The sequence below is a fragment of the Homo sapiens genome, chromosome 1 (assembly GCF_000001405.40).
Source record: "Homo sapiens chromosome 1, GRCh38.p14 Primary Assembly".
NCBI classification, from domain to species: domain Eukaryota; kingdom Metazoa; phylum Chordata; class Mammalia; order Primates; family Hominidae; genus Homo; species Homo sapiens.
Genome location: NC_000001.11, coordinates 152,464,644 through 152,483,913, shown reverse-complemented (window position 1 = coordinate 152,483,913; position 19,270 = coordinate 152,464,644). Strand labels below are relative to the sequence as shown.

General features: G+C 42.9%; 1 annotated feature.

The window, feature by feature from the left end:
* Nucleotides 11,680-12,584: an enhancer, noted in NCBI's record as "NANOG-H3K27ac hESC enhancer chr1:152443806-152444710 (GRCh37/hg19 assembly coordinates)". NCBI's record gives its function as "activates a minimal SCP1, AML or CMV promoter by ChIP-STARR-seq in primed H9 embryonic stem cells {active_cell/tissue: H9 hESC(primed)}" and the evidence as "EXISTENCE:reporter gene assay evidence [ECO:0000049][PMID:30033119]".

Here is a 19,270-nt window from a genome sequence, read left to right as displayed (position 1 = left end):
ATGGGACAAGGCTGTTTGTGAATGGGTCATCCCAAGTAATACACAGCAAAAGACATAATGGCTATGCTGTCATTGATAGAAACAAACAATCCTTATGTGAAAAAGGTAAACCAATAACTGGTCAACCCAAACCTGTGAATTATATGCTCTTAACCAGGTCCTAAACCTCCTAGAAGGTCAAAAATGCACTATATATACTAATTCCAAATATGCCTATAGAGTAGTACACATCTTTGGAAAGATCTGGACAAAGTGGGGCCTAATAAATAGCGCTGGGAAAAAATTAGTACATGGGGAACTGGTCAAACAAGTTTTAAAAAGCCTCTTGCTTCCAGTAGCCATAGTTCACGTAAATGACCATCAGAAAGGAAACACTATAGAAGCTATAAAGAATGGGCTTGCAGATAAAGCTGCTAAGCAAGCCTCCCTGAAGAAAGAAGTTAGACTGTGTAGCCTAATACCAGATATCCCTAATGTGGTATTAAGACCCCAGTTTTCTAAAGAGGAGGAGAAAGAGCTGGGTAAGATAGGGGCCACTCAAACTGGGGATGGAAGGTGAGTGCTCCCTGACAGGAGAGTAATAATAAGCAAATCCATAATTAGAGAACCGATGTCATACTGCATAAGGGAAGTCATTGGGGAAAGTCTTGTGTAATGCAATACACAAGAATTATGGGTGTATAGAGATTTATACACTTGCTAAACAAGTGTGTGAGGGTTGTGTGACCTGCCAGAGAATAAACAAAAAGGTAGTTAAAAAAAAAAAAAAAAAAAAACGACTACTGGAAGAAGACCTCCTAGGTTAAGGCCATTTCAAAGCACTCAAGTAAATTTTACAGAAATGCCCAAAATAGAGAGACTAAAGTATCTGCTGGTAATAGTAGACCACCTCTCCAGCTGGGTGAAGGCCTTCCCCCTCCCAACTGCCACAGCCAGGAATGTGGTCAAAATAATCTTAAAACAAATTATACCCAGATTTGGCCTGGTAAAAAAAAATATTAATTCTGATAATGGAAGCCACTTTAACTCAAGGGTGCTAAGGAGAATTATGGAAGGTTTGCACATTAGATGGGATTACCACACCCCTTGGCATCCCCCCTCCTCTGGAAAGGTAGAGAAAATAAATCAAACTCTCAAAAAGCACGTTACCAAACTAATCTTAAAAACTAAAATGCTTTGGACCAAATGTCTCCCAATGATACTCCTTGGGATTAGGACAACCCCAAGAAAAGACTTAGGATTGTCCCCCTCTGAGTTATTGTATGGACTCTCATATTTAAACAAGGCTACAAAGCTTCCTACTATGGAAACCAAAGACCAATTTTTAAAAAATCATATACTGGCCATATCCTCTACCCTGTCATCTCTTAGGTTAAAAGGACTTCTGACTCAAACTCCACCCCTGAGTTCACGGTTCACCACTTCCAGCCTGGCTACTTGGTGCTGATTAAAACTTGGAAGGAAGACAAGCTCCACCCAAGCTGGGAAGGTCCCTGTCAAGTGCTCCTGACCACCGAAAAAGCCATGGAAACAGCTGAACGAGGGCGGACTCATTACACTTGGGTCAAGGGACCAGTAAAAAAAAAATGTAAGGAAGGGTAAAAGGGAAAAGGGCAAATGGGAAGTGTATAAATCGCCTAAGGAACCCTTAAAGCTAACTCTAAGGAAAACCTAGAAGAGAGCTATAAGCGGGCCCTGTCATTGGGGATGGTTATGGTTAGGATTAATCCTAACACAAAGGGTAAAAGGAAACCCGAGTATTGAATGGAGCCCAGTACTAGGGGTGGAAAGTAGGGAACATCCAATCAAACTAATAGTCAACATAACTCAGACTTTCACCCCGCAAGCTGTAAAATTTAATGCCTGCCAAGTTTTACCTTGAAGGACTTTAGGACACCAAAGACAGTTGTCACAGGCAAACAAATATCTATGACCTAAAACAAACCATTATTGGGCCCTCTCAGAAAAGCCCTACACTAGCTGAAATCAGTCTGGTAGACCAGTTAATACCAAGGCTGAGTAAGTCATTCTTCCAAAAACAAAGCCTTAAGGGGTAAAATACATTTATATAAGGGCCCCACACAACCTAACTGTGAAAATTTAAAATCCAATCATATATTAATCACAATAAACAACCCAGCTACTCTAGACCAGGAACCTTGGAAGTATGGATTAGGAGTAAATATCTCAGGAAGGGACCTCGTGGGATGGTTAGCTCTCAGGCTAATCACCAACTCATCCTGGAGCTCACTCAAAGTTACTATAACTTCTGGTCCCACCATTTCCTTTAACCCACCAGGCAATAACTCTAATAGAGTAAAAAATAATAATAATTGAAATAACTGACCTAAGGCAGACTTTAAAAATTAAGACCGGATATGAGGATGTAAATGCCTGGGTTGTATCCCCATAGGGATACAAGGCCACCAGCCCTCCAGGGTCCTCAGAAACCCCAAATATTAGATGCAGATCTAAGATTTTTAGTCCTTCCCCAGGCTCTTTTTCCCTACTTCAAGAGGCCAAATGCCCTGGAGAGGAAATCACATGAGGAATGTGTTTAAGAAAAGAGTAAGCACTGTGAACTTCGCACAGGTTGGAGGAGGGTAGGTGGGGTCCGTAAAAGAAGCCTGCAGGCATCCAGGAGGGACAGATGATAATGAGGAAAAGGAAAATCCTGTGAGTGCTCCTGGGAGTCTGGGACAATTCTGAAGTTTTCCTACCTTTGGTTCATCAACCGAAGAAAGCAGGACTGGCTTCAGGCTGGCCATGCCCAAGACACAGAAACAGAAGGCTGACTGCCATTGCCTGCCCAAACTTGGTCCATTGGACTGGCCCAAAGCAGGTCCGTTGTGCAACGAGAGAAGCAAAATACAGAGTAAGCTCAGCTGTTACCAGTGAAATGGGACCTAGAGAAACAACGAGGCAGAGCTTCACTCTGACCCCCTCCTTGGGGGCCCCCTTTGGAGCAGAATAAGACCTGTAAAAGAAAGACCAGGACTTGGATTCTGCTCTCTGGATGAAAGAATATTGGGCTCACGGGCTGTGTTTGGGAGAAGGGAGTGGTGCAGGCTAGACAGAGCAAGCAGAGTGGAGGTGGGGCCAGGAAATCTCCAGATGAGCCTTGGTTTTGCTTCTCATAGGAGGTGAGCGTCCCTGTCACCCCCAGTGAGACAGTCAGGAGTACAGCACCCCACCCCCTCACTCGGCTGTTGTGGGGATTCACAAAGTGAAGTGGGGTATGGAAAACATGTATTGTCAGCATAAAGGCAGGATTATTTCCAAAGGCCCTGCCCTTCAGTATACATCCAGCAAGCTAGTCCAGGAAGCAGTTTCCAAAAGATTTTAGCCTTGATCCCCTTGTTCACTTCGTCATGGAGAGAGAGACTGGGAAAGGGGGAGAGACTGAGGCTATGCCCTTAAACCTCTGTACAGCTTTTTCTGCTCCCAAAGAGCCATTGAAACCTTGCTGCCTCTATCTCAGCCACAGAAGAACTTAAAAAGCTGAGGGCTGGAGACTGGTTCCTCCTTTCATAGCCTCTCAGAACACCAGCCCTGTCACAGGACCATGAAGCTCCGTTCTCAAGGGGATCCAGAAAAGGATCATCCACACCTCTGTCCTCACAAACAGAGAAAGCCAAAATCACCACCAGGGGGCGGAGAGGAGCCCTGCAGGGAAGGCCTTGCGGCTATAGCCTCCTTCCTGTTCATTGAAGCGCTGTGGTTGGCTGGCCTCGCCTCGTCTCCCCTCCCCTCCCCTCCCCTCCCCTCCCCTCCCCTCCCGTCCCCTCCTGTCCCCTCCCCTCGCTCTCCTTTTTTCCTTTTCCTTTTCCTTTTCTTTCCTTTTTCTTTCACTTTCCTTCTTACTCTACTTCTTGAACAAACATTTATTAAGGCCCTTACTGTGAGTCAGGCACCCTGCTGGAGCTAGGGATACAGCTGGGAGACAGGTGTGTGGTCCTGCTCCTACAGCCTTGGTATGTAGTCAACAACACTGAGTGAATGAATGTATTCTCTATAGACCTTGAAAGAAAATAACCACAGGCCAAACCTTGAGAAGAAAGACCTTGAGGACAGCAACAGCCCCAACAGACCCAGACATAGGGAGTTACCACGGATCAGTCCCAGACACCCACCAAGAAGCCTTGCAGGGATGCAAGACCACAGCTCGTTGGCAGCAGCAAGGTTGCAGGTAGAGGAAGCCCAGTCCCATGGGCTCATCTTTTCTTCCAGACTTTTCTAAGTGAGAGTTATCTGGTAACCATACAGGCCAGAGTCACAGAAATTCCCTTTCCTGAATTGGAAACGCTGAGCCAGCCTTTCATCCCCAGTAGAGAGGGGTAGGTGCCAGTGTAGGTGGATGATACCGTAGCTTACCTGTTCTACTCAGAGTGGCACTGGGATGAGCGGGCACCAGGACTCCAGTTAAGGATAGCCAGGGGTAGTGCTTCGGAGTCAGACCAGGAGTGTACCCCAGCTGTCCCAGCTGTGTTTCAGAGAAGGTGGGGGGCAACCCTGAAATTAAATCCTTCTCTAACTGAAAGCCTGTCTTGGAGGACAGGCGGGAGGAAGCAGCCACAGACTCAGTGCCTCTGCTCCTACTACAGCCACGTCCTCTTCTACAGCTCATCACCAGGCTAGGCCCAAGGGACCTCCACATTCTCAATGGAAACTCCCACCCAAGGTTCAGGGCATTGTTAGAGCACCCCTTCTCATGTGAGGGCATCCCTTGACCTGTTTTGGCACCCTTCCTTCTGTTGGGGAACCCCTCATCCTGTTAAGGCACCTCTTCTCCTGTTAAGGCACCCCTCATCCTGTTAACGCACCCTGCCTCCTGTTAGGACACCCTCCTGCTGTTAGAGTACTCACTCCTCCTGTTAGGGCACCCTTCATCTTGGTAGGGCATTCCTCCTCCTGGTAAGGCATTCCTCCTCATGTTAGGACACCCCTCCTTCTGTTAGGGCACACTTCCTCCTCTTAGGGCACCACCTTCACCCTTTATGACAACTCTCCTCCTGTTACAGAGCACCCCTCCTCCTGTCATGACACCTCTCCTCCTTTTTAGAGAATCCTCTTCCTGTGGAGGCACCCCTCCTTCTAGTAGGGCACCGCTTCTACTCTTAGGGCACCACCTTCACCCTGTAGGGCACCCCTCCTTCTGTTAGGGCACCCCTCCTCCTGCTAGTGCACCCCTCCTCCAGTTAGACCCACCCCCTCCTCCTGTTAGAGCACCACTCTTCCTGTTAGAAAATCCCTCCTCCTGTTAGGACACTCCTTCCACTGTTAGGAAACCCTTCCTTCTGTTAAGGCACCCATTCTTCTGTTAGGGCACCCCTTTTTCCTGTTAGAACACTCCTCCTCCTTTTAGGGCACCCCTCCTCCTGTTAGGACACCCCTCGTCCTGTTAGGGCACCCCTCCTCCTGTTAGGACACACTTTCTCCTGTTAGGACACCCTTCCTCCTGTTAGAACACACTTTCTCCCATTAAAGCACCCCCTCATCCTGTTAGGGCATGCCTTCTCCTGTTAAAGCACCCCCTCCTCCTTTTAGGACACATGTCTTACTGTTAGGACACATCTCCTCCTGTTAGGACACACTTCTTTTGTTAAAGCACCCCTCCTCCTGTTAGGACACCCTTCTTTTGTTAAAGCACCCCTCCTCCTGTTAGGGCACTGATAAGATTTGGCTGTGTCCTCACCCAAATCTTATCTTGAATTGTCATTCCCACAATCCCCCATGTCATTGGAGGGACCTGGTGGGAGATAATTTAATCATGGGGGTGGTTACCCTCATGCTGTTCTCATGATAGGGAGTGAGTTCTCATGAGACCTGATGGTTTTATAAGGGGCTTTTCCTCCTTTTGCTTGATACTTCTCCTTCCTGTCATCATATGAAGAAGGACATGTTTACTTCCCCTTCCACCATGATTGTAAGTTTCTTGAGGCCTCCCCAGCCATGCAGAACTGTGAGTCAATTAAACCTCTTTCCATTATAAATTACCCATTCTTGGACAGTCCTTTATAGAAGCTTGAGAATGGACTATTACAGTAAATTGGTACTACAGAGAGTGAGGCACTGTTATAAAGATACCCAAAAATGTAGAAGCAATAGCAAGAGGGGGCTTGCCTGGGCATGCCCACAGTGGACTGGGGGCACGCATGTGCACTGCAGGAAAGAGGTGGAGCCACCAGGAATTTGCACCTGATGCAGGGGAGGAGCGAAGCCTCATCACCTCTTATGTGGAAGCCCTGGCACTCAACTGTGAGGTGAAAACCTGCTTGCAGGACCCCTCTTTTTGCTGAGGGTTGTCCTTTTGCTTAATAAATTTTATTACTCACTCTCTGATGTCCACATGCCTAATTCTTCCTGGTCTTGAGACAAAAAACCTGGATCTAGCTGACTTCAGGAGGAGAAAAAACCTACATCACAACTGACTTTGGAATTGGGTAATAGGCAGAGGTTGGAACAGTTTGGAGGGCTCAGAAGATGAGAAAATGTGGGAAAGTTTGGGCCTTCCTAGAGACTTGGAGGGCTCAGAAGACAGGAAGATATGGAAATGTTTGGAACTTCCTAGGGACTTGTTGAATGGCCTTGACCAAAATGCTGATAGAGATATGGATAATGAAGTCCAGGCTGAGGTGGTCTCAGGTGGAGATGGGGAATTTCTTGGGAACTGGAGTGAAGGTCACTCTTCCTATGCAAAGAGACTGATGGCATTTTGCTCCTGCCCTAGAAATCTGTGGAACTTGGAACTTGAGAGAGATGATTTAGGGTGTTTTGCAGAAGAAATTTCTAAGTGACAAAGCATTCAAGAGGAAGCAGAGTATAAAAGTCTGGAAAATTTGCAGCCTGATGATGCAATAGAAAATAAAATACCATTTTCTAGGGAGAAATTCAAGCCAGCTGCAGAAATTTGTGTAAGTAATAAGGAGCTGAATGTTAATCGCCAACACAATGAGGAAAATGTCTCCAGGCCATGTCAGAGACCTTCACAGCAGACCCTCCCATCACAGGCCCAGAGGCCTATGAGGAAAAAATGGTTTCATGGGCCAGGCCCAGGGCTCCTGTGCTGTGTGCAGCCTAGGAACTTGGTGCCCTGTGTCCCAGCTGATACAAGTGTGGCTAAAAGGGGCCAAGATACAGCTCCGGCTGTGGCTTCAGAGGGTGCAATTCCCAAGCCTTGACAGCTTGGCAGAAGTCAAGAATTGAGGTTTGGGAACCCCATCTAGATTTCAGAGGATGTATGGAAACACCTGGAAGTCCAGGCAGAAGTTTGCTGCAGGGGTGGAGCCCTCATGGAGAACCTCTGCTAGGGCAGTATGGAAGGGAAATGTGGGGTCAGAGTCCCCACCTGGGCACTGCCCTGTGGAGCTGTGAGAAGAGGGCTATGGTCCTCCAGACCCTACAATGGTAGATCCACCTACAGCTTGCACCTGTGCACCTGGAAAAGCCACAGGCACTCAACACCAGCCTGTGAAAGTAGCCTGAAGGGGGGCTGTACCCTGCAAAACCACAGGGACAGAGCTGCCCAAGGCTGTGGGAGGCCACCTCTTGCATCAGTGTGACCCAGATGTGAGACATGGAGTCAAAGGAGATCATTTTGGAACTTTAAGTTTTAATGACTGCTCTATTGGATTTTGGATTTTCGTGGAGTCTTTAGCCCTTTTCTTTTGGCCAATTTCTCCCATTTGGAATGGGTGTATTTACCCAATGCCTGTATCCCCATTATATCTAGGAAGTAACTAACTTGCTTTTGATTTTACAGGCTCATAGGCATAAGGGACTTACCTTGTCTCACATGAGACTTTGGACTTGGACTTCTGAGTTAATACTGGAATGAGTTAAGACTTTGGGGGACTGTTGGAAGGGCATGATTGTGTTTTGAATTGTGAGGACATGAGATTTTGTTGGGGCCAGGGGTGAAATGATATAGTTTGAATGGACTAATACAGGCACCCTCTCCTCCTGTTAGGGCACCTTTCCCTATATAGGGCACCCCTCCTACTGTTAGGGCACCCCTCCTCCTGTTAGGACAACCCTCCTCCTGTTAGGGCACCCATTCTCCTGTTGGGGCACCCCCTTTTCCTGTTAGAATACTCCTCTTCCTGTTATAACACCCCCCCTCTTAGGGCAACCCCTCCTTCTGTTAAGGCACCCCTCCCCCTGTTAGAGCAACTTTCCTCCTGTTAGAGCACCTCTCCTCCTGTTAGAACAACTTTCCTTCTGTTGGAGCACCCTTCCTTCTATTAGGACACCCCTCCTTCTGTTAGGGAACCCCTCTTCCTCTTAGGGCATCTCTCCTGATTTTAGGGCCCCATTTTCTTGTTAGAACACACCTCCTCCTATTACAGCACCCTTCTTCTTGTTACAGCACCTCTCTTCCTGTTTAGGGCACCCCTCCGCCTGTTAGGGCATCACTTTCTCTTTTTGGGGCACCTCTCCTCCTGTTAGAGAACTCTACCTCCTGTTAGAGCACCCATTCTACCTCTTAGGTCACCCCACCTCCTGTTAAGGCCCCCTCCTCCTTTTAGAGCACCTCCTTCTCTGATTAGAGCACCCCTCCTTCTCTGATTAGAGCACCCCTCCTCTTGTTAAGATACCCTTCCTCCATTTACAGCATCCATTCTCCTGTTAGGACATCCCCTCCTCCTGTTAGGGACCTACACCTCCTGTTAGAGCACCCCCTCTTCCTGTTAAAGCACCTCCTCCTCCTTTTAGGCTCCTCCTCCTGTTCAGGCCCCCTCCTCCTTTTAGAGCATCCCCTTCTCCTATTAGGCACTCCATCCTATTAGGAGCACCCTAATTAAGGCACTTCTATTAGAGCACCCCTCCCCCTGTTAGGGCACTCTCCAACCCCATTAGAACACCCTTCCTCCTGTTAAGGCACCCCTTTTCCTGTTAGGGCATGCCTCCTCCTGTTCGAACTTCCTACGTCTTGTACACAGCACCCCTCTTTCATGTGATCTCCCAAATTCGGCTGAAACACCTCCAGGCCAGAGAAACCAAAACCCATCAAGACAATAGCCACTTGCTTTTCTGAACAGATTAGATGGTTAGATGATATGGCTTGGCTCTGTCCCCACCCAAATCTCATCTTGAATTCCCAAGTGTTGTCAGAGGGACCCAGTGGGAAGTAATTGAATCATGAGGGCAGGTCTTTCCCATGCTGTTCTCTGTTCTCGTGATAGTAAGTTTCACAAGATCTGATGGTTATTATAATGGGGAGTTTTCCTGCATAAGCTCTATTCTCTTGTCTGCTGCCATGTGAGACATGCCTTTCACCTTCCACCATGATTGTGAGGCCTCTCCAGCCACGTGGAACTGTAAGTCCAATAAACTTCTTTCTTTTGTAAATTGCCCAGTCGGGTATGTTTTTATCAGCAGCGTGAAAATGGACATTAGAAATTATTTTTCATTTTAAGCATGACTCTTTGTAGCCTCTGTCCACTCACTGGTCCTACTTATACCCTTCCACACACTAAAAATTTCTTAGCTCTCCTTCAGACTTCTCATCTCCCAGATAAGCATTCAAGGTTCCTCCCAGGCATTGTTGTCATTAGAGGAATGGCTTTGGATTGCATCATCACTCTAGGCTCTCTACTATGACTTTTCTGGGTCTTTGTCATGGGACTGAAATGGACCTGGCAAGGGGCAGCCTAATAGACCTGTTCTATGGCATAATGGTTGGGCCCATTCACAGCACCGTCTACATGTGGCAGCCCTGGAGTTGTGCAGTAGAAAAGCTGTGGGGGCCTAAGCAGCAACCTCGCTGTCCTTGGGGCCTACAACAGTGTAGATGTTTCCAGGGATGAGTCAGTGTTGATGAGGCAAATTATTCAGGGAGGTTGTGGCAACACAACCAGAAAGAGAGTTGTGGTCAGGGAAGAAAGCAGAAGGTAAAGACAAGAGAAACAGCAGTGACCAGCAGATATGAGGAGTGAGGCAAGTACACAAGGTAAGAGAAAATTCTAAAAAATTAGAAGGCGGTTCAGAAGCAAACTTTTGTTGTGTGTTTAAGGGATTGGTCTACCCAGGACGCCTCTAATATGTGAACTAAGTAAAGAAGGAGGAAATGGATCTAAGCAAAGATATGAGGGTTCCTCCTCATTAGAATCAAACCCATTTGGCCAGGTGCAGTGGCTCACACCTGTAATCCCAGCACTTTGGGAGGCTGAGGTGAGCGGATCATTTGAGCTCAGAAGTTCAAGTCTAGCCTGGGCAACATGGTGAGACTCCATCTTTACAAAAAATTAAAAATTATCCATGTGTGGTGGTGTGTGCTTGTGGTACCAGCTACTCAGGAGGCTGAGGTGGGAGGATTGCCTGAGCCCAGGTTGCAGTGAGCTATGCAAGACTGCACTTCATTCTGGGTGACAGAGGGAGACCCTGTCTAACAAAATAAATCAACAAATAAAATTTAAAAACAAAAAAATAATTTTTAAAAAATGCACTCCTCTCACATTTCACCCTGTGACTGTGTGTGAATCCATGAAAGCATAAAAGGTGAGGCAAAGACCTCAGGCTTATCTTCAGGGTGGGCTCAGGATAAAGGGACTGGGGCAGTTGCTGAGCCTTCTATTTCATGAACCACATCAGACTCATGAATACAGGCAGGGGAACAGGTGGCTTAGGGGCCTTTCTTCTGCTCTGATACTCAACATTAGTGGTTGCCATAATAAGCAGGACCAGCTACATCATTTTCAAGGCCCAATGTGAAATGAAGATGCAGCACCCCTTGTTCAAAAATTATTAAGTAAAAGCAGAGCATTAAACCAAATGCACAGTCATATGGGGCCTTCTAAGTGCCGGCCCCATATAACTGTGCAGGTTGAACACCCAGGAAGTCAGGCTTCATAATAAGGCAATTGAGCCTGTGATTGTAAGTATAGGTGCTGGCATCCAACTGCCCAGGTTCATAGCCCAGTTCAGCCTCCTTCAAAAAAGGTGCCATTGAATAAATTAGGTTTTGGCAAACCTTTTCTGTAAAGGATCAGATAGTAAATATTTCAGCTTTGTGATTTTCTCTGTCACCGCTTCTTAACTATTCAGTTGTTCCATGAAAGAACTCATACATAATGCATAAATGAAAAGATATGGCTCTCCCTCTCCCTCTCCCTCTCCCTCTCCGTCTCCCTCTCCATCTCCCCACGGTCTCCCTCTCCCTCTCTTTCCACGGTCTCCCTCTGATGCTGAGCCGAAGCTGGACTGTACTGCTGCCTTCTCGGCTCACTGCAACCTCCCTGCCTGATTCTCCTGCCTCAGCCTGCCGAGTGCCTGAGATTGCAGGCGCACGCCGCCACGCCTGACTGGTTTTCGTATTTTTTTGGTGGAGACGGGGTTTCGCTGTGTTGGCCGGGCTGGTCTCCACCAGCCTCAGCCTCCCGAGGTGCCGGGATTGCAGATGGAGTCTCGTTCACTCAGTGCTCAATGGTGCCCAGGCTGGAGTGCAGTGGCATGATCTCGGCTCGCTACAACCTCCACCTCCCAGCCGCCTGCCTTGGCCTCCCAAAGTGCTGAGATTGCAGCCTCTGCCTGGCCGCCATCCCATCTAGGAAGTGAGGAGCACCTCTTCCCGGCCGCCATCCCATCTAGGAAGTGAGGAGCGTCTCTGCCCAGCCGCCCATCGTCTGAGATGTGGGGAGCGCCTCTGCCCCGCTGCCCCGTCTGGGATGTGAGGAGCGCCTCTGCCCGGCCACAACCCCGTCTGGGAGGTGAGGAGCATCTCTGCCCGGCCGCCCCATCTGAGAAGTGAGGAGACCCTCTGCCCGGCAGCTGCCCCGTCTGAGAAGTGAGGAGCCCCTCTGCCCGGCAGCCACCCCGTCTGGGAAGTGAGGAGCGTCTCCGCCCAGCAGCCACCCCGTCCGGGAGGGAGGTGGGGGGTCAGCCCCCGCCTGGCCAGCTGCCCCATCTGGGAGGTGGGGGGCGCCTCTGCCCGGCCGCCCCTTCTGGGAAGTGAGGAGCCCCTCTGCCCAGCCACCACCCCGTCTGGGAGGTGTACCCAACAGCTCATTGAGAACGGGCCATGATGACAATGGCAGTTTTGTGGAATAGAAAAGGGGGAAAGGTGGGGAAAAGATTGAGAAATTGGATGGTTGCTGTGTCTGTGTAGAAAGAAATAGACATGGGAGACTTTTCACTTTGTTCTGTACTAAGAAAAATTCTTCTGCCTTGGGATCCTGTTGATCTATGACCTTACCCCCAACTCTGTGCTCTCTGAAACATGTGCTGTGTCCACTCAGGGTTAAATGGATTAAGGGTGGTGCAAGATGTGCTTTGTTAAACAGATGCTTGAAGGCAGCATGCTCGTTAAGAGTCGTCACCACTCCCTAATCTCAAGTACCCAGGGACACAAACACTGCGGAAGGCCGCAGGGTCCTCTGCCTAGGAAAACCAGAGACCTTTGTTCACTTGTTTATCTGCTGACCTTCCCTCCACTATTGTCCTATGACCCTGCCAAATCCCCCTCTGCGAGAAACACCCAAGAATGATCAATTAAAAAAAAATAAAAAAAAAAAGAAAAGATATGGCTGTGTTCAAATAAAACTTTATTTGCAAATCCAGGCAGTGGCCCAGACTTGATCCATGGGCCACAGCTCACCAGCCCCTGCTGTAAGACCTTAATTTCCTAGTCTATGGGATGAGAATAATGACCATGCCCACCTCATTGAGTGGCTTTGTGGATTAAATGATACCATGTTAATACTTAGCAAAGGGCCTGTACACAGTAAGTACTCATTAAGTGTTAGCTATAATTACTGTAGGGCATGTGCAGGACTGGTGAGGTGGTAAAGATGTAAGAGCCTCACAAGTGTCTGGGCTGTGCTGTTTCCACCTCTCTATACCATCTTGATGCTTTGCCCTCCATTGCCTTCCTTTCCATGGCCATGGGAATGGCCAACAAAGGGTTGAAGCCTGGTTTATGTCTGCACTGCCTGCATAACCCAAGAACCAGTGGGCTTGATCAATCAGAGGTTCTGAGAAGGACTGGACATTGTTAGTTACAACTCATCCAAAAGATTAGCCTGAGGTGTTCATTCTCTTATGGATTTTTACACATTCTGCAGAGCCAGTGAAGGGAAAATGCTTAATTAATATCCTGTTTGGGTAATTTGCATCTCTGAGGCTCTCCAGACACCCACTGGGCCTCTACCTGGCCAAGGAACAATCTTTCTGGGTATTTCCCCCCAGACACCCAACTGATAACCAATTGAACTTCATTATTTTGGTTTTCAGTAGCTTTTTTAATATACAAAATGAATCATATATTATACGTTGGTCAAAATATGTCAACAAACATTTTATTTGTATTTGAATTTCTTCCTAGCCACCTACAATTTGTATGATTTTAGAAATGTATTTTAAATGCTTTGAGCTCTCATTCCTTCATCTATAAAATAAAATGTTAATATCTTCCTTGGGGGATTTTTGTGAGAGGAAAATTAGATAATATGGATTAAAGTACTGTAACAAAAGGCATTGTGAATATCTAATTACATGCTGGATATAGCTTGCCAACATTAAATATTTATGTATGTATGAGACAAATATTCATTTCACATTGTCCCTGAATCCTTTGAGAGGAAGTGTTCTCTTAGTACCTCGAGCTTACCAAATTTTATTGTAATTGTTTATTTACTCACTTGCCTTCTCCACTTGCCACTGAGGACAGAAACTGTTTTGGTCACCATCTTATTCCCAGCACAGAGTAGGTGTTTAAGAAATACTTCTTGAAAAGATGTTGAATGAAATTGTTCAAAAGAACACAATTTCAAAGTGAAATGCAGAGAAATATTCTCATACTCTGTCTCCTGAGCTGCTATAATTGTGACATTAAGGAAGAAAGAAGACCAAGGGGGAAGGGGAGCTTGAAAAAGATTGGGCTTCCAAAACTAGACAGTCTTCAAGGAACACTTTTATGTGCGTTTAGGAATGCTGGGTCAAGGCTTTCCTCAGCCTAAAGTCAATGATCTTTTCCCATTCTGCAGTGGAAAATATCTAACACATCTGTCATTCCTTTTTTTTAATTTTAAATATTCCTTTTGTAAGTTTCTCTTACATGTTCATTTCTTACTACCACTTGTCTAGCACTTAAGCCTTGTATCAAAGAGAATAAAATGGGCTTTTGTCTAAAGGGAAAGTTATATATATTTCAGTTTCACTATTTTATAAATTTTTTAAAAGAACCTGTGACTTGAAGGAACTCTAACCCATACAAGTTTGAAAACTGTTTGTTATTATAGGACAAACCTTATATTTTACAGGTTAAAAAAATTGAGGTCTAGAGAAGGAATATGACAAAACTAGGGCCCACTTCATGGAGGAGGGGCTGCTCCCTTAGCTCTTTCAAAACATGATCAGTCAACTTAGAAGTCTTTGCTGGAATGTTAAAAAGCCTGCCCTTTAAAATCAGCAACAAGGCAAATATCCTGCTATCACCATGTCCAGCATGTCCAGCATAGTAAGAGAGAAAAAAAGATATATTTACATTTATATATACGCATATATAGTGTACTATAAGCATAGCTCTGAAGAGTTTAAAAGAAAAAAATCAAAGCTGTTATTATCCATAGTTGTTGTTATTGTCTATTTAAAAACACAAAACCTACAGAAAAATTATAATTGATAAAAAGTTTATCAAGAAAGTTGAAAATAAGATCACTATACAAAAATCTATTGTATTTCTACATAGCAGCATTGAACAATTAGAAAATGTAATTTTGAATGTTATCCATTTAAAAACATCACAAGTGTTTGAGGTAATGTATATGCTAATTACTCTAATTTGATTATTATCTTTGTCTATATGTATGGAAAATCACACTGTACCACATAAATATTATAATTATTATGTGTCAATTAAAACAAAATAAATCTAGAAAAAGAAAATTTAATTCTTGTAATACTATTTACAATAGCAGCAAGAAACAAAATATTTTAGGTACATTTTATAAAATATGTCTCATTATGAAGAAAATTATGAAATTTAATTGAGAAACATTAGTGAAGATCTAAAAACATACAGAGAGACACTATGTTCACAAACAGGATTCAAAACCCCAAAGACGGCAGTCTTTTTTAAATTAATCTATAGATTTAATGCAATTCGAAACAATATATAAATAGGACTTCTATGGAACTCAGCAAGCCACTTCTAATACTAATACAAAAATGTAAAAGAGCAAGCAAAGACCGGGACACTTTTAGAGAGAAAAGGTAGCAGGATGTGCCCTACCAGATATAAGACTTATAATAAAGCAATTAAAATTAGAATAGTGAGGCCGTGGCACAGAGAAAGACAAGTAGATCAGTAGAATCAAATATAAAACCCAGAAATAAACTTGTATTTGAAACATCTTATACGAATGGAGTGATTTTCTGTTTGCACCATGATGGAGTCGCTGACAATCTTCCTCCTATCATAAACAACTAAGAAACTGAATAAAAGATACAGAGCAAATGTTTTCAAGCATTGAACAGAAACCGACAGAGGATTATAATCCTTGAGAAAAGAAAAGCACAAAAAGTAAGCCCCAATTTCAACGTGGCTTTCTTTGAGAAGGTCAAACTAAGCAGGAGAGAAAGAGATCAGATTTCAATCCTGCCAAACGCTAGGATTTGGTGGGCAAGGTCCCAGAGAAGAGAAATCCACAAGGAGGTGCACCTACAAATCTACATTAAAATTCCTTCTTAGATCCTTTGCCAATCGCTAAGCTGTTCATGCACAAAGTGATCCTAAAGGAGGCCTAGGAGAAAAGAGCCACTGGAATGCTAGAGAGCTGAAGATCTGTTAGAGACTGCACAGCATTAGGAAGCTAGTAATTAGAGGTTGATACCAGGTCTGAGCAGAGCAAACTTAGGGTTTATCTTTAGCTTTTAGTTAAGACCTCAGAAACACCATTCGCTAGGATTTTGACTCATGCCCTAAGAGCAGCCAACACCCTGGAAGTAAGGAAAGGTATCTACTCTAACAAAGCCTAAAGCCAAGTCTCAACAGTATCAAGATGATCCTCTGGTACTTTAACTGCCTGCCAGAACAAAACTCAACGCTCTTCAAAGATGGAAAACATGACCCAGAGCTTCTACAAGGCATCATCCAGACTAGCCAGTAAAGAAAAAAAAAAAAATTAGTCACAGAAAAATGCAGGAAAAGGTGATAAACATCAAGAGAAAAGGCAACAACTGGGAGACAATCCCATGTTAGAAGACGCAGGAGTTTTAAAAAGAGCTTTAATATAACCATGATAAATATGTCTTTTTAAAATAGAAGGAAAGATGGACAAAACAAATGAAAAGGAGGAGAATTTCAACATTAGAATCGATAAAAAAAATCAAGTGAATATATTCTAGAATTAAGTATCTGGAGTCAGAAACATTCTTGGCGGGGTAACAACAGACTGGGTATGGTGGAAGACAGAGTAAGTGAACTTGAAGAAAGGTCAATAAAAAATACACAAACCTGTGCATACAGAGGGAAAAAAATGGAGGAAAAAAAGAGCAGAGTGGATAAATGGGTTATGCTCAAAGAGTCTAATATACATGTTACTAAAGTTCAGAGAGAAAGGATAGAATGAGACAGGGCAATCTTTGAAGAATTAATGTGCAAGAATTTTCAAAACCTGATGAAACACAAACAGATTCAAAAATTTAAACCAACTTTAAGCATGATACATGTAGAGAAGGCCACATCTAAAGAAATTATAGAGATTTATAGAAAGCCAAAGCATAGGAATAATCTCAAAAGGAGTCAGAAAGAAAAAATATATATTATTTTAAAAAGGGCATCAATAAGAATTGTGGTTAACTTTTTAAATAGAATGTATAGAATCTAGAATATAATGAAATCGCATATTCAAAGTGGTAGGGCAAAACTACAGATAATTCTTTGTCTTGTGAAAAGGTCTTTCTAAAAACAAATTACTTTTTTACAATAATATTTTTATGATGATTTTTACAAAAGTATTTTTACAATAATATTTTTAGAAAAAGAAAAACAACATCATGAAAAAGATGAAATAATTCACCTTCAGTGAACTTGTACTACAAGAATTCATTCAGATTAAGGAAAATGATCCCAGATAAAAGCATGAAATTGCAGAAAACTACAAAAATCACTTTTAAAAGGTAGATATTTGAGATTTTATAAGTGAATACTGACTGTTTAAAACAACAAAAAATATTGGAATTTATAATATATGTCAAACTAAAATTTATAATAATAGCAAAAGGCAAAGAAAGTTAAGGTTCTTGCATTGTTTGAGAAGTAGTAAAAATATTAATTTAAAATGAACTATAAAAATTGTAAAGAACATTTTAATTTCTAGGATACCTTAAAATAATAATAAAGAAAAATATACTTAAAAAGCTAACAGAAGAGAAATGAAATAATTTAAAAATTGATCCAAAATAGACTAAAATTATTAAAGAAATGAAACAAAGAAAAAGTAGAAATGGCAAACGTAAACCTAGCTATATCAGTAATTACATTAAATGTGAATGGTCTAAATACTACAATCAAAAGACAAAGAGTATTAGACTTGATTTTTTTAAATCAATTTTATGTTGTTTATAGGAAACACCTGTCATACATAAAGACACAGAATGGTGCAAATTTTAAAAATGGTAGAAAATATACTTTGTGAAAACAAATTACAGTAAGCAAAAATTGTCAGAACTAAAGGGAGAGATAGAGAACTCCATAATTATATTGAAGATAGTAACATCTGTCTCTCTCTCAGTAATTAATTAGAACAAGCAGTAAAGTTGAGGAGGATAAATCAACCTGACATAATGGGCATACATAGAGCAAACATCAACTATCAGAATACACATTCTTTTCAAATGTACTTTGAACATTGACCAAAATAAACTGTCTTGGATCATAAATCATGTCTTAAAATTTTCAGAGATCTGAAATCATATGTTCTCTGACCACTGTGAAATTATGTCAGGACTCACTAACTGAAAGATAACTAGAAAATCTCCAAATGTGTGGAAATTAAGCCACATGTTTTTAAATGACCCATCAGTCGAAGAAATAAATCACATAGCAAAGTAGGAAACATTTTGGGCTGACTTATAATAAAATATTCTGCATCAAAACTTTCAATGCTGCTAAATCAGTTCTTAGAGAAAATCTTGTACTTTAAGGTAAATATTAGAAAAAAGAAATGTGGGCAAAGATCTAAATTTTTTCTCAAAATACTGGAAAAAGAATGGCCAACTAACCTCTTCCTGAAATTTTAAATAATAAATAAATAATAAAGAGAGGAAATCAATGAAATAGAACACAGGCACACAATAGAGAAAATCAACAAAGTCAAAAGTTACTCTTTTCAAAAATTTTTTTAGAAAGGATTAAAATGAGTAAAGTTAAAAATTAAAAATTAATAAAATTGGGCAAGAAAATAAAAGCAAAAGTGAAAATTATGGATATCAGGAAGAAAAAGAGGGAATCACTACTGATTATACATTATTATGAACAACATTATGCCAATAAAATAGAAAATTCCGATGAAAAGGATATTCTTTAAAAAACAGCTCGCTAACACTGACCTAAGAAGAAATGTAAAATTTCAATATTAAAATAATTTAAATGTTTCCTTAAAAAGACTTTCAAATGCAAAAAAATGCCAAGCCCAGAAGCTTCACCGGTAAATTCTTCTCCTCTATTAAGGAAGAAACAATACCAATCTTATGTAAATTCTCCAAAGAAAAGAAATAGGTATTTGGGATCTAATTAAACTAAAGAGCTTCTGCACAGCAAAAGAAACTACCATCAGAATGAACAGGCAACCTACAAAATGGGAGAAAATTTTTACAACTTACTCAACTGACAAAGGGCTAATATCCAGAATCTACAGTGAACTCACACAAATTTACAAGAAAAAAACAAACAACCCCATCAAAAAGTGGGTGAAGGACATGAACAGACACTTCTCAAAAGAAGACATTTATGCAGCCAAAAAACACATGAAAAAATGCTCACCATCACAGGCCATCAGAGAAATGCAAATCAAAACCACAATGAGATACCACCTCACACCAGTTAGAATGGAAATCATTAAAAAGTCAGGAAACAACAGGTGCTGGAGAGGACGTGGAGAAATGGGAACACTTTTACACTGTTGGTGGGACTGTAAACTAGTTCAACCATTGTGGAAGTCAGTGTGGCGATTCCTCAGGGATCTAGAACTAGAAATACCATTTGACCCAGCCATCCCATTACTGGGTATATACCCAAAGGACTATAAATCATGCTGCTATAAAGACACAT